Source organism: Homo sapiens, chromosome 6 (assembly GCF_000001405.40).
Source record: "Homo sapiens chromosome 6, GRCh38.p14 Primary Assembly".
In the NCBI taxonomy this organism is placed as follows: Eukaryota; Metazoa; Chordata; class Mammalia; order Primates; family Hominidae; genus Homo; species Homo sapiens.
The window spans coordinates 56696643-56711120 of NC_000006.12; the positions used below are offsets into that span (position 1 = coordinate 56696643).

General features: G+C 36.8%; 1 protein-coding gene across 9 annotated transcripts in view; it reads right to left on the reverse strand.

The window, feature by feature from the left end:
• Window positions 1–14478, reverse strand: part of DST (dystonin) — a 496835-nt gene that overhangs the window by 238647 nt on the left and 243710 nt on the right. For 6 of the 9 annotated variants that reach the window (NM_001144769.5, NM_001144770.2, NM_001374730.1 and 3 more), the window contains 3 exons: window positions 7638–7727; window positions 5246–5323; window positions 3011–3103 (listed from right to left, as the gene is read on the reverse strand). In NM_001144769.5, coding sequence (NP_001138241.1) covers window positions 3011–3103; window positions 5246–5323; window positions 7638–7727 — 261 coding nt within the window. Of the gene's footprint in view, window positions 1–3010; window positions 3104–5245; window positions 5324–7005; window positions 7105–7637; window positions 7728–14478 lie in introns of all 9 variants that reach the window. The other 3 variants (NM_001374722.1, NM_001374736.1, NM_001374734.1) reach the window with 1 other exon arrangement.

The following is a 14478-nucleotide window of genomic DNA, read 5'->3' on the forward strand; positions in this document are numbered from 1 at the left end:
GTCTCTGCTCCCAGGAGCTTGGGTCTCCAATGTCTTCTTTCTAGAACAAACTATTGACCTCTACTCCATCTTAATTTTCTTGTGGTCTCTAGTGGCATTTCATACTGCTCACCATTATTTCTACTTGAAATTCTCTTCCCTTGGTTTCATCAGTACATTTTCCTATTACTTCATCCATCTCTCCAAATGCTCCTTTTTTCTCTTTCCTCAGCAGAATCTTTTCCCGCAGGCCTTCTCCAAATTTTTATCCTTAGTGCTCCATCTCTTCTCCATCTGTGCTCTTCTCTTGGGTCCCCTGAAGATCCCTTCTTTCCGATAAAATCAGTGATCACTTGTGTAGTGATAACTTCTCCAAGTTTATATCTGTACCTCTGGCTTCTCAGCTCCACTCATGTCTCCAACTGCTCAGCAGACAGAGGCACAGGATATCCCACCATCCCATCAAGCCCACCCAGAAAGTAAGTGCTTTTCCCCCTAGCATCACCCCTGTGTCTCTCAGTAGTCTACTGTTTCGTAATCTCTCAGGCTAAAAAGTTTTGTTATCTTTAACAAATCCCTTTCCTACACCCTCTATGCCCTGTGTCCAAGTCCCTTTCTTTCTTCCTGGAAAGTGTGACCTCTTCTATTCAATTTTGCATCCCCAACTGAGTCCTGACCTTTATCACTACCTCAGCTTCACAGCTTATCTCTCTCACTATGGACTCTGCTCATTTCTATCTATTTTAATGGATGTTGTTTCCTAAAACACATTTTTTAAAATTTAGCAAAATTTAATTGAGCAAAAAACGATTTGAGAATCAGGCAGCCCCCAAACCAGAATGGATTCAGAGAGACTCCAGCACAGGTCCTGTCACCGAAAAAGATTTATGGACAGAAAATGGAAAGTGATGGACGGAAAAAGGAAAGTGATGAACAGAAACACATTTTTTTTTAAGCTCAAAGTAGTAACATGACTGGCATCACAACAGTAAGTAAAAGAGCCAAGAACGAAACTTAATTCTACCTCCCTCCGAAGCCTGAATGCTTTCCATTGCCCCAGTGATCCTTCGTCTAACATTCAAAATTCAGACACAGCCTACCTCACCAGCTGGTGATGAAGTGATTGATTCTCTCCAATAGACCTCTGACTTTCCCGTCTGGGGTTCTTGCAGTTTCAACTCTGCTAAAAGCTCTAGGATCTGATCCACTTAGGACTACTTAAATGATCCCTGACAAAGCCACTGAGGAACTCCATATGAAATCAACTTTTTGGCCAGTTCTACCTAGACTTTACCCAATTCTGATAACAAGGTCTGGTTCTGCGCTTCATGCCAAATTATTGCCTTCACTTAGGTTCAATATCTTTGATTCCAGTAATGCCCTCAGTCCTTTGGGGTCCTGGCTTCCAGTTCTGGTTACTGGCTCTCCCTGACATTAACAGCTCAGCTAAGTGGATATTCACCTGTATTAGCTGCCCTGTAGTCTGGCTGACTAACACCTTTTCCTTTGATTACCTGGATCTCCATGAATGTCCTTCTGCTGAAACTATTCAGCTGCCTCTGTTCAGGTCCTAGACCTACCTAGACTCTGATTCCTGTAGCTCTCCATACCTGTCAAATCTATCCTGTTCCCAACAAGCCCCCCAGGTACATTATTCTCCACCATTTGTCTACGTAACCTGTATTTCAGCCAACTTAAAAAAAAAAAATTTTTTTTTTTTTTGAGACAGAGTCTCGCTCTGTTGCCCAGGCTGGAGTGCAGTGGCGCAATCTCAGCTCACTGCAACCTCTGCCTCCCAGGTTCAAGCGATTCTCCCACCTCAGCCTCCCGAGTAGCTGGGACTACAGGTGCATGCCACCACACCTGGCTAATTTTTTGTATTTCTTAGTAGAGACGGGGTTTCACCCGTTAGCTAGGATGGTCTTGATCTCCTGACCTCATGATCCACTCGCCTCAGCCTCCCAAAGTGTTGGGATTACAGGCGTGAGCCACCGCGCCCAGCCTTTAAAAAAGTCTTATTCCTCACCAGATTTGTTTCAAAACCCCAGGTCCTTTTTGAAGCTGGCAAAGGATCACTTCCTCCTTCAAGATCCAACTGTACAGTAATCTATTGGTAAGATGTACTGAGTGCCTACTGTGGGTCAGGCTCTGTGCTGCACACAGAACATTTCTGGGTCTTTTTTATAATTTAAACTTTTATTTTAGATTCAGGGGGTACAAGTGCGGATTTGTTACATGGGTATATTGCGTGATGTTGAGGTTTGGGGTACAGATGATCCCATCACCCAGATAGTGAGCACAGTACCCAATAGGTAGTTTTTCAGCCCATGCCCTTTTCCCCCTCCTTCCCACCTCTAGTAGCAGAACATTTCTTAAGCAGACCAGCAGTTAGTAAACTAAAGCAAGTTCTAAAGTTAGGAATCTCCTTAAATCAAATGAAGATTCTTTTTAATGTATCACTTCCCCAAAACTAAATCAAAATCGGTCCTCAATTGGCTCAGGTTTATTAGATAATAATTCAGTCAATAAATTTGCATTTTCCTCAAATCTAAAGAGAGAAAGCACAGCTCTGCATAAAACATGAATACTTTTCTTCTTCACATCTCTTTATAATTATGCTGCCATCTAGTGTCTATCAAAGGAGGAAATAGTTGACAGTGCTAAGAACCTGTATTACTAAAAAACATTCTAAATAAGGACTAATCATAAAACATTTAAGTATCTAAAACAGGTAATACTTTCTAATGAGCAAAAAAAGTGTGTCTCCAGTCAATAAAAAGAAATATGTCTTCCAACTCTGAGATAACAGACATTGTCTTTAAAACTACATTTAAGTTTATCAAGAACAGGAAACTAGTTGCCAGATTCACAAGCAGCATGTTGCTTAAAAGAACAATTCAAATATATTACTTAAAGAAAGAAGCTTGAAATTTATTTTTCTTCCATAGAACATGAATGCATCATTCACCCTTCATAGGAACCACCTGAAAACTAGCAATTAGATGCTGAAATTAAGAAAATTTGGGCTTACCTGAAAGTGCAAAATTATTGTCCAGATTAATCCCAAAGTCAATTTGGGATTTCCATCTGTTATGTCATCATTTCTAATATTCACTAATTTCACCTGTTTTGAATGTGAAGAAGAGATAAAACCAACTGTTTATCAAACCTGAACCAGTTATCTTTACCTACATAAAAGCAATTCTAAAATTATACAAAGAAAAAATGGAATAATTTAAACACCAGTAGTCAACTAAATATTGTTTTACCCTTATTCTCAATCATTTTATATTACAAATCATATGGTAACAACAAAGAAAGAGCAAGTATTATTGCATTCTTGTCTTCCACAGCAGGGATCCCCAACCTAACCCCCAAACCTATACCATAGGGACTGGGCTGCATGGCAGCAGGTTAGCAGCGGCCCAGGAAGCATTACCACCTGAGCTCCACCTCCTGTCAGATCAGCCACTGCATTAGATTCCTATAGGGGTGTGAACCCTATTTGTGAACTGTGCATTTGAGGGATCTAGGTTGCGCACGCACTCCTTATAAAAATCTAATGCCTGATGATCCGAGGTGAAACAGTTTCATGCTGAAACAACCCCCACTCCTCCCACCAGCCAGTTCATGGAAAAATAGTCTTCCATGAAACCAGTCCCTGTTGCCAGAAAGGTTGGGGACTGCTGTTCTAGAGCAAGTACTAAAAGCATTCACTTGTCAATACAAAAATACAACTCCTCAAGTGAGAAGTCCTAAATATTTGAGATCTTAAAATTAGAAAAAATTTTGTCTTTTAAAAATAAATTTTATTTTACTTTTACCATTAAGTATGAAACTATCCTAACAATTCTAACAATTTTCTCAAATTTCCATTACAAGGTTTTAAAATAACTAGCATTATTTTGCTATCAATGTGCCATAAATATATAAGTCACTGGGCATTTGGAAGGCTGTTCAAATATTTTAAAATAATATAATACTCAGACTTAAAGCTTATCAACTGTCAAACTGTACATTCAGGTAAATAAATCAAATGATGATCCCTAACATTTACTTCCTGGACAAAATCATTTAATATCATGAATTTAAATACTGAGAATTATATACTATGATATTTAACATTTTACTTCTTGGACAAAATGCTGCCAGAAAACATTTCAGAAGTATCCATCTGGAAACTTTCACTAGAATGATGAATAATAAGCAAACAACAATAACATTTAAAATATTTAAGCACTGAGGATTTACTAGTATTTAATAGGGAAAAGCATTTTAATGTTCATAATATTTAAGAATAATAATGAAGAAATAATAAAAGCTAGTGTTTACCTCTCCCTCTCCCCCTTTTTCTCTTGCCTTTTTTTTTTTTTTTTGAGACAGGGTCTCATTCTGTTACCCCGGCTGGAGTGCAATATTGCAATCATGGCTCAACACATCCTCAATTTCCTGGGCTCAAGTGACCCTCCCGCCTCAGCCTCCCAAAGTGCTGAGATTACTGGCATGAGCCACCACACCCAGCCTCTTCCTTTTTTTCAAACTATTTAAAAAAAAAATTGCTGCCCCCTCTGACTCTCACTGTCTTCAATAATTTTGAACTCTCCTGCATTTTTTTGTACTAATTGAAAAATTACTAATATTTTGGCCTATGACGTAATGCCACCAAGTCAAGATCATATCCAATATATTAATTCTTTTCCATGATTTCTCCTGATACCTCAAGCAAGTTGGGGGCTATTGTCAGAAATGTTGTTATATCTTTACTCATAAATTTTCCAATATTATCTACTTATAAAAACAAAAGATTTCCTTATCCCTACTATGAAAAATGCTTATACTAAATTAAAAGTATTATATAAAGTATTTTTATAAAAATTAACTATTTTTATATACTAAGTGTAAAAAATGAAGTATTGCTTCCCCACAATTAAGAACTGTTCATAGGCATTCTTAACATTCTATTGCTACTAAAATGTCATTAACTTCCTAGGCAAATGCAATCCAATTCAAACAGAAAGAAAATCACAAGTTCTTACATAGATGGAAATGTAGTCACTTATAATTCCTCTGGGCTTATCCCTACTATTAACTTCTTTTCTTGGGAGCAAATGTTTAAAAACATTTTTAAATATTTGCTTCACCAAAGCACAAGCTTACTGGTTACAATTCACAGGCAAATTTAACCTTGTCATTCCTTGACATGTTTCTACGTGGATGTATTAGTAACATATATTTATATGATTACAGTATTTTCAAAACATCATACCTGGCGTCTTTTCAAATAGTCAAGTGCAATTTGTACATTCTGTAGTCTGTGAAAACGCATCCGACCTTTTTCTCTGGGCTAAGAACAGAAAAATGCAGGTATGAAAAAGAGTTTCTGTTATCACAGACCATGCTAATTTAAATATAATTTCTGTTCATCTTAATATATCAAAACAGTATTTACCGTTTAGGTAAGGCCATAAGATTTTCTAAGAAGGTTTCAATTTCTTTATATTGTCTGAGATTGAATGTAAACTACTAGGGATTTTTTTCCAAGTATGTTTTATTTAAACATATACTTTATGACAAATTTTTTGTTTAAACAAAAGGAAAAGAGAAGATGTTACAGAATATACAGACACTTAATATTTGGTAATAAAACAACGCTAGCCTACAATTATTTAGCTATGGAGGCACAAAAATAATTAAATATCATTCATCATTTTACCTTCTTATTGAACACTATTAGCAAGAGGGTTTTTATAACTGTATATACACACACACACACACACACACATATATATATACATATGGCATATTAATGAAAATGAGATAAAGTAGCATGCAGTTAGTATAAAAATCACCAAGAAGGAGAAAGACAGAGAAGGTTTACTTAGCCATGATAGAGAAAGAGAGAAAACCAATTAAAACCATATATTTCCTCTTTATTTTAGCTTTTTCACAAAAGTGGACACTACGATAATTAGAAAGGACTCTATACTCGTTTTATACTACTTGGGGATGGAAACAATTATTTTCTCAGTCTCAGGAAAAGTGACAGATGAGAATTATTTTCCTTAATGCCATTTCCCTTAAGAAATGTTACAAGTTAGCATGAAGGAAACAGAGGAAACAGAGCTGAGAAATGCTTAGCAAAAATACAAAAAATGGAGCTGAAATTTATCACATAAAATCTTCCAAAGGTAAAAAAGAAAAAAGACAATTGACAGCTTGGCTTCTTCAATATGTATAGGTTGCTGAAGCCAAAGGTGCCATAAGAAAACAGACAGCACACCACAGAAGGAAAAGTAAGCTCTGCATAACAAGTAGAAACGATGTTGATAAATTTACCCACTGGATCCAACAAAAGCACAATTTCCAGTAAAATCAAGGGGCACTAGGTATGTAGAAGACAAAAGAAGAAGCACGTCTGTCTTGCAAAGGTAGGCTGCAGTCAACTAAGAGTCACGGAGATTAAACAGCTCTGTGAGTTCTGTTGGAATACTGGATTTTTAAATCTCCCTTTTAAATACATGTGATATATTAGAGAGGTAAAACATGTCCATCAAATACCTATTGCCAAGAGGTGTGGTTTAAAGCAGAAACTTAAATACTAAAAAAAATTTCCCTAAGTTCTTTCATAAAAAGCAATAAATAGTTGCTATGTTTGAAATATCACTTCCAGAAACTGAATGAATTTGCACAAAAATTAGCAGACTTGTAAAATTTCCATGTTTATATACAATGTATATAAAATTGTTTAACTAAAATGCCATCATGTACTTTAAGTCTGTTTAATTACCATGCAGTGCACAGTAATGTATAAATAATTCAATCATTTTAGCTCTCTGAAGATAATTTAAAGAGAAAATATTTCCTTTATCCAATTTTTTGGTACACACACATCTACCTCAATGTGGGTTTTGGCCCTTTCTATGCTTTTCTAAAAAGGAGCCTGAACCCAGGAGTTACTTCTCTATCAGGTTAGCGCTCACCGCATGGGAACGGCTAGGTTAGTCAAGTTATGGGGGCGACACCTACCCCCTTATCCTCATCCTCCACATCCTCATGCTGTTCATATTCGCATGCTTCTGTTGCACTCACCAATCGTAAGGTCTTCAAAAAATCTCGCTCCCTTGGCTAATGAATATAACAGACAGAAGATAGGACAGCAAAGACACAAGACAGACCAGAAATGAAAAGAAGAGCATGAACAGAACATAATGAAGGAGAACAGGTAACAAGAAGGGGAAGTAATGTTCACCAAAAAAAAAAAAAAAATGACACCTGCGGAATGGGTTAGATCATTTTTCAGAAAGCAATGTTTATTTTCTTGCTATTTGTAAGTCTTTTAATATGTGGTTATATTATGCATCCAACTTCTGCTAAGCAAAAAAACCCAAAGGTAAAAAAGAAGCAAGAACAAAAATAGTATTTTAATTATAGAACTGATTATATAAGTGAAGTAATCAAAGTGCTTCAATCTCTCAAATTCACATCATTTGAAGTTTGAAAATGCTTAGGAATCTAACCAAAACTTCTTTTTCAGGCAGAATTCATAGCTCAAAAGATGAATGTTGCAAAAATCTGAATAGTCTGTACTGAAAACATACTGGTCCTATGCAGAAAAGATTACACGTTCTTCAAAATAAAATAAGAAAGTTAAAACTTACCAAGGTATCTCCTGAAAGAACCTCTAAAAGAGAAATCAAATTGTGTCCATCCCTTAAGTCTTCATAGAGATCATTCACATGTTTTCGAACCTATAAAGAGAAAAGCAAAATTTGGGGTCCTAGAACTCAGAATTATCCTTAACATTCTTAAACATAAAAAGGAGACAAGTAGAAAACATTCCTCACATGGTATTCATTCATGCACCTATTTTTAAATTTTTAAAATGCTTATTACTTAAAAACTAAATTTAATTTAAAAACTTAAAAAAGTGAATTTCAGATTAATAATTCAAGAAGACAATTCAAATTATTACATTTTTAAGACACCAGAACAAACATAAGCCTGGACTACTACATGGGGTTACAATTCTTCAAATACGGACAATGCCCTGACTTTATTCATGATTCCCGATACAGTGACCAGTGCCACCTTAACAAGAGGGTGGAGTTTTCACCCCCGCAGTTGATCTTCTACTTCTAGCCTAAAACAGGTTCAAGGATGCCGAGGAACATTTTTAGAAATCCATAGACGTGAGCTGGGTGAAGAGTATGAGACTCTACATATTATTTTATCAATATCTTATGAGCCTATAATTATTTCAAAAAAATTTTTTGAAATCCGTATGTGTCAGGTTAGAAGTCCTCTGTCCAAACCCTTCCTCTGCACAATGTAAGTCTTCTTATAACGGAAGATTTTCAAAACTAAATAACACTAGCACAAAATCAACACTCAACCTACAATAGCTTTCCCCGTTCCACAGGCCTGATTTAGAAGTCTGTGATTTTAGAACCCAAACCATCAAAGATTTCCCAAAAGCTTTGTTTAGCCTGCCAAGTAGGGATAGCTCTAGTAACCACATGGCCCACTGCAAGGTTTGTGTTGGACAGACAAATGTCAAAGCAGGTATTAAGATGGCTGTTCCACAGTGGACTGGCACATTTCCATTTTCTCGCCTTTCAGTGATTCTGGGCTACTCCCATGAAAGGAGCCAAAGAAGTGGGCAGGAAAGAGGCAGGAACCAGAATCCCACCTACTTCACCCATGGCACAAGCCCTGTATACAAATGAATCCAACTCCTTTGCACTTCCAAAATGTCAAGTGAGTATATAGCACAAAATAATGAAAAGATCTAAACTTATAATCAAAACTATATAACTACACAAACACAAAGAAGAGGCCTAATGTAAACTGGAAGCAAACTTTTATGGTAAGTCTCTCAGTCCCCAAAAATAGTTTAAATCCCATAAAACTTTATTATCTTAGTTGACTCTCTCTATATATATGTTTTACAATATCTTTTGTTAGTGTCAGAAAATGTTTTTGATTGATGAAGAAGAAGTTCCCTTAGGAATTTCTTATCAAATTTACCAGCTTTTACATCCAGTGTTCTGGCACTGTTTACATAAGTCACAGAACCTTTTAATATTCAATTACCCATCTAGGCATAATTAACTACAAATAATATAAATACTAAGCTTAGGCTCAATAGCTCTACCACAAAGTAACTGTTCATGTCAATAGTACCTTTGAAATACAGCAAAACTGAAGGTGAATCAAATTACTTTTAACCAAGTCTCCATCTTTACAAATTGACATTTTATTTTGATTTCCTAATTCCCAAGGAATATCAGTTGAATCTCTGATGTCATAATACCAAAGTAAGACAAAGTTTAAAAATACTTTATTTAGCCCCAAAAAATGTTATAACACATTTTGAGCAATCCTTGTTTAGAAAAACCTGTAAATACGCCATGCTCAGTGGCTCACACCTGTACTTCCAGCACTTTGGGAGGCCAAGGCAAGTGGATCAATCACCTGAGGTCAGGAGTTCGAGACCAGCCTGGCCAACGTGGTGAAACCCCATCTCAACTAAAAATACAAAAATTAGCCGTGCATGGTGGCAGGTGCCTGTAATCCCAGCTACTTGGGAGGCTGAGACAGGAGAATCACTTGAACTCAGGAGGCGGAGGTTGCAGTGGGCCGAGATCAAGCCATTGCACTCCAGCCTGGGTGACAGAGCGAGACTCCGTCTCAAAAAAAAAAAAGAAAGAAAGAAAGAAAGAAAAACCTGTAAATAACCAAATAAGTTACAAAGGAGTTATCCATTCAATTAGAATATTTACCTTGAGATACCATGAAATGACAACTCTCTCAACTTCTCAACTGTATTTCAGAGATGAATCAATTTTCAAGGGCCTCTTCAGGAACATATCTATTACATGCATGATATGTACGCGAACAGATAAGCACTTAGGGAAATGAGTACTAATACTGCAATTTCCTACTCATGGACTGGTTTCATGGGAGACAGTTTTTCCACAGATGCAGGGGAGGGTGGTTTTGGGATGAAACTGTTCCACCTCAGATCATCAGGCATTGGATTCTCATAAAGAGAGCACAACCTAGATCCCTCACATGCACAGTTCACAATAGGGTTCACAGCCATGTGGTGGCTCATACCTGTAATCCCCAGCACTTTGGAGGCCAAGGTGGGCGGATCACTTGAGGTCAGGAGTTCGAGACCAGCCTGGCCAACATGGCAAAACCCATCTCTACTAAAAATAACAAAAAAAAATTAGCCGGGCAATGTGGCGTATGCCTGTAATCCCAGCTACTTGGGACGCTGAGGCAGGAGAATCACTCGAACCCAAGAGGCGGAGGTTGCAGTGAGCCGAGATCATGCCACTGCACTCTAGCCTGGGCAACAGAGTGAGATTCTGTCTCAAAAAACAAACAAACAAAACAATAGGTTTCATGCTCCTATGAGAATCTAACGCCATCACTGATCTGACAGGAGGCAGAGCTCAGGTGGTAAGGCTGGCTGGCCCAATGCTCGCCTCCTACTGTGCAGGCCACTTCCTAACAGGCCATGGACCGGACCAGTACCTGTCTGTGGCCTGGGGGTTGGGGACTCTTGTATTAGAGCACTGTAAGAATTCACCCAGTCCCGTTCTAAGGCACAAGCTTGAATTTATAAGGCTAAGGCCTACTTAAAAACAAGGCAGAAAAGCTAAGCTTGTGAATGTCATGTACATTCTAAATCTATGTACTTCTCTGCGTATCTTCAATATAACCAGAAAGCAGCCAAACTCTAAAAGAGCCTGAATGGGAACACTAAAAGATTATATTTATATAAACAATATTATACAGCTCCTGATCCTCAGCCAGCTGCTTTGTCTCTCAAAATAAATGGCTTTATTGTGCAGGTCTGATATCCTCAGTACACAGAAGGACAGTAGAATCCAAGCACATGATTACTTTGGGGACTTCCAGGATTGTAATAGTGCTGAGAATTCTGTGCTCTCTGGTCCACTATGCCTACACCCTACCAGACTTACATTTCACTCTATATTCCACTTCTTGTGTCTTTCTCACTCCAGGACAGTTAAAGATGGGGTATGATTCTGAACACTTATCTCATAGTAAGGCAATTTCACAACTTGACTTGCCAGACTGAACAAAACCCTCTACATAAGGGAAACTTTCCAAAACCAGGTGTCATTTGCTACTATCGTATTTATGTGACAACAAAGGAAAATTAAAACAGACATGTTTAGAGAAGGAAAATAATAATATTAAGCCATGCAAATCTAAACTAGGAAAAGATGGCCGGGTGTGGTGGCTCACGCCTGTAATCCTAGCACTTTGGGAGGCCGAGGTGGGTGGATCATGAGGTCAGGAGTTTAAGACCAACCTGGCTAAGATGGTAAAACCCCATCTCTACTAAAAATACAAAAAGTTAGCTGGGCATGGTGGCAGTGAGCTGTGATCATGCCACTGCACTCCAGCCTGGGCAAAAGAGTGAGACTCCCTCTAAATTAGGAAAAGAGAAAACCTGTGATAAGGGAAAAGACATTTTAGTCCTGCTTCTGCCCTTGGCCTTATGAATTTGTACCAACAGCCTAAACTCTCTAGGCTTCAGGGTTTTTTTTATCTTTAAAATAAAGGTTGGAAAACAGAAAACTCCTAGTTCAACCTAGAGAACAAAAAGTCTGTAATCTTTAAATCAAATTATTATCATTTTAAAAAATCAATGACCTGTCAACTTAGAAAATGTATAAAATAAAAGCTACTCTTAAGACTTATGGCTTAATTTTTTAAGAATTTTAGAAGAAAATGCAGAAATAAACTAATTTAACTTCTATAATGCTTGAAAAAAATCCAAAGACACTGGCTATCCCCAATACTGCCTGCTTTTCCTGTCTCAGCTGACTATTCTGAGGGTCCACAGAAATACTGTATATGGAAAACATCCTACAAAATATAAGATATCATTTTCCGAAAAGCAAATGTCACTAACAATAATAAACAAAAACACACACACCATGAGTTACTACTAGATGCCTAACCTTGTGCTAAGTACTTTATAATACTGAGTCAGTTTCCTCAGCACAAATGAGTGGAATAAAAGAGGATGCTATTAAAAATTAAAAATCAACATTATGGGTAAAGGGTGGTCGGGAATGAACTGAGGGGAAAGAATTGGGGTTCCAATCTGATCGAGCAAGAAATTTAAGGGAAAGAAAAGAAGGGAAAGTAGACAGCTAAGCCTACATAGAAAAGCTTTTATTTTACCCTAGGAGTGAGTCATAGGCATTGGGCCTGGTAACTTTCCTTCACAGATGACTATACTAACCGCCAATATCCCTAACATTCCATTTTCAGTTTTTAATAAAGCATTCCTTTTTCTCTTTTTGGATATGTTCTCCCTATGGGACAAAAAACTGTCTGGATCAATAGTGCTAGAGGAAGTGACGAGCAAAGTAAAAGCACTATGAAATACTCTGGGATTAACTTACATAACTTGAATTACATAACAAGGCTGATACAGCATTTTCTGTATTTCACACAATTCTCGTAGAATTTTGCAGTACTTCAAAAAAATATGTATATAGCATTGCACCTAGAGTTTACCTCTAGGGGGCACTAATCTTTTACTTAAAAGAATATCCCAAGAAAGTAAAATAGACTAGAAAACACTCTATGGGCAACAAAAATTCTAAACAAGATGCTGGCGATGACATGGACAATATTTCAAATTTATTTTGGAGTGAGAACACATTAGCTCATGCCAGGTCTGTATTACCTAAATGGCTTAACTTATCAAAAATACTACACTGAAAATTTCCTTTTGTTAACCTATAACTGTTTGGTTTTATATAGGCTAAATCAAATTCAACTTTGAAGAAAAGAGAATCATTATATAACTGCTTGCTGAATGTTTAAACTTCCTTTTTTAAAAGTCTGACATTATAGTGGTTGATGTTAATCTAGACAAATTTCACAAAAATTTGACTTCCCATTATTTAAACTTATTACTATTGTTTAGCTGCAATTCAATTCAGGTCACAAACTATTTATTGAGCATTCATCCGTCATATGCCAGGGTATCCTTTAAGTTCTATGGGTACAAAGATGAATAATAAGAGTGCCACCTCTTGAAGCCTGTAATCTGAAATGAAAGAAATTTAGGCAAGAAATTGCAGTATAAAATAAATGCATTCAGAGAACACTCAGGAAGCTATGAGGAGCTTAACCCAGTCTGAGGTCTTCCCAGCAAAGAAGATGGGAATGTTGCAGGTGGAGGGAGGAGCAAGAACAAAGGAAAAAGGCAAGGACACACAAAACTACATATGAGTTGCAAGGAAGGAAAGCAGTGGTGAAGTCAATGAAGCATGAGGTGGAAGATGAGGCTGGAACGATGCGCCGGTGGACATAGAGGCTTTATATCCCAGGTTAAGAAGCTTGAACTTTTCCTACACAAAGAAAACTACGAATTTTAAACAGAATGAGGCCATAATATCTCTGACCAATATAAAAGCTTCCCTGTAAACTATTATCTTAAGCAAAAACAAATCAATCACAGGTAAAATCAAGAGCCCAATCTGTACACAATAATAGAGGAAAGGTCCCTCAGGAAAAAAAGGAAACTGGAAGAGTCATTCCATTAATGAACCTTGGGTAAAATGCAGGCATCCTAGTGAGCTCTGCAGTAGGGAGCAAAACATCAGCCACATAAAGGGTTCACAGTCCGCTCTTAAAGAAGTTCTATATCTAAAGGATACAGTATTCTGGAAAACAATCAGCTATCTTTAGAAAGAAACATAAATAATAAAAGAAGGCTTGTCCCAAATGAGATCGCCTCACTGGCTTATACTAACTGGGTGACGAGAAGAAGGATAGTTTGCTTTAGTGAAAATTATAAATTAAAATATTTTTCAATGCAATTTTTTTACATCAAACAAGTACGTTCATAAAAAATTAGCTGTCAGGTTCTCCTGGGAGAGTTCCTTAGACAGCCTACTTGAAAAAATAGAGGTAACATAAATATCAATATATTAACATATTAATTATTGATAAGAAAATTAATGCTTTTAAAATACACACAAAAAATGCTCAAAAACATTGTATTATCTTAGGTAGCTGCCTTATCTAAAGTTGTTTTTTCATTACAAATTTATTTCAGTACTACTTCTTCAGGAGTTGTGAAAGAATAAAACTACAATTCATATTCTACCTAAATTATTATAAATTCGAAATTGGTGCAGTTAAGTCAAACAGGGAAATATCCTTATTTGGCATGATAAAAAGGCGGTTATGGTTTTTTAAGGTACTACGTTAAGTCAACATTAAGGCCACATAGAATTCATCTCCTTTAGGTTATTTTTAAACTATGAAATAAAGGTATTAGTTACACATCTTAAGGTATTAATGGATAAAATAATAGAGAGTTTTTTTTTTAATCCACATTGGTACTAGGTGGTACAAATAATGTGTCTACTTCTTTGGACCTGATTCACTCCTTCACAAAGAAGGCTTCTCTTTTTAGCTTTTGGGTAG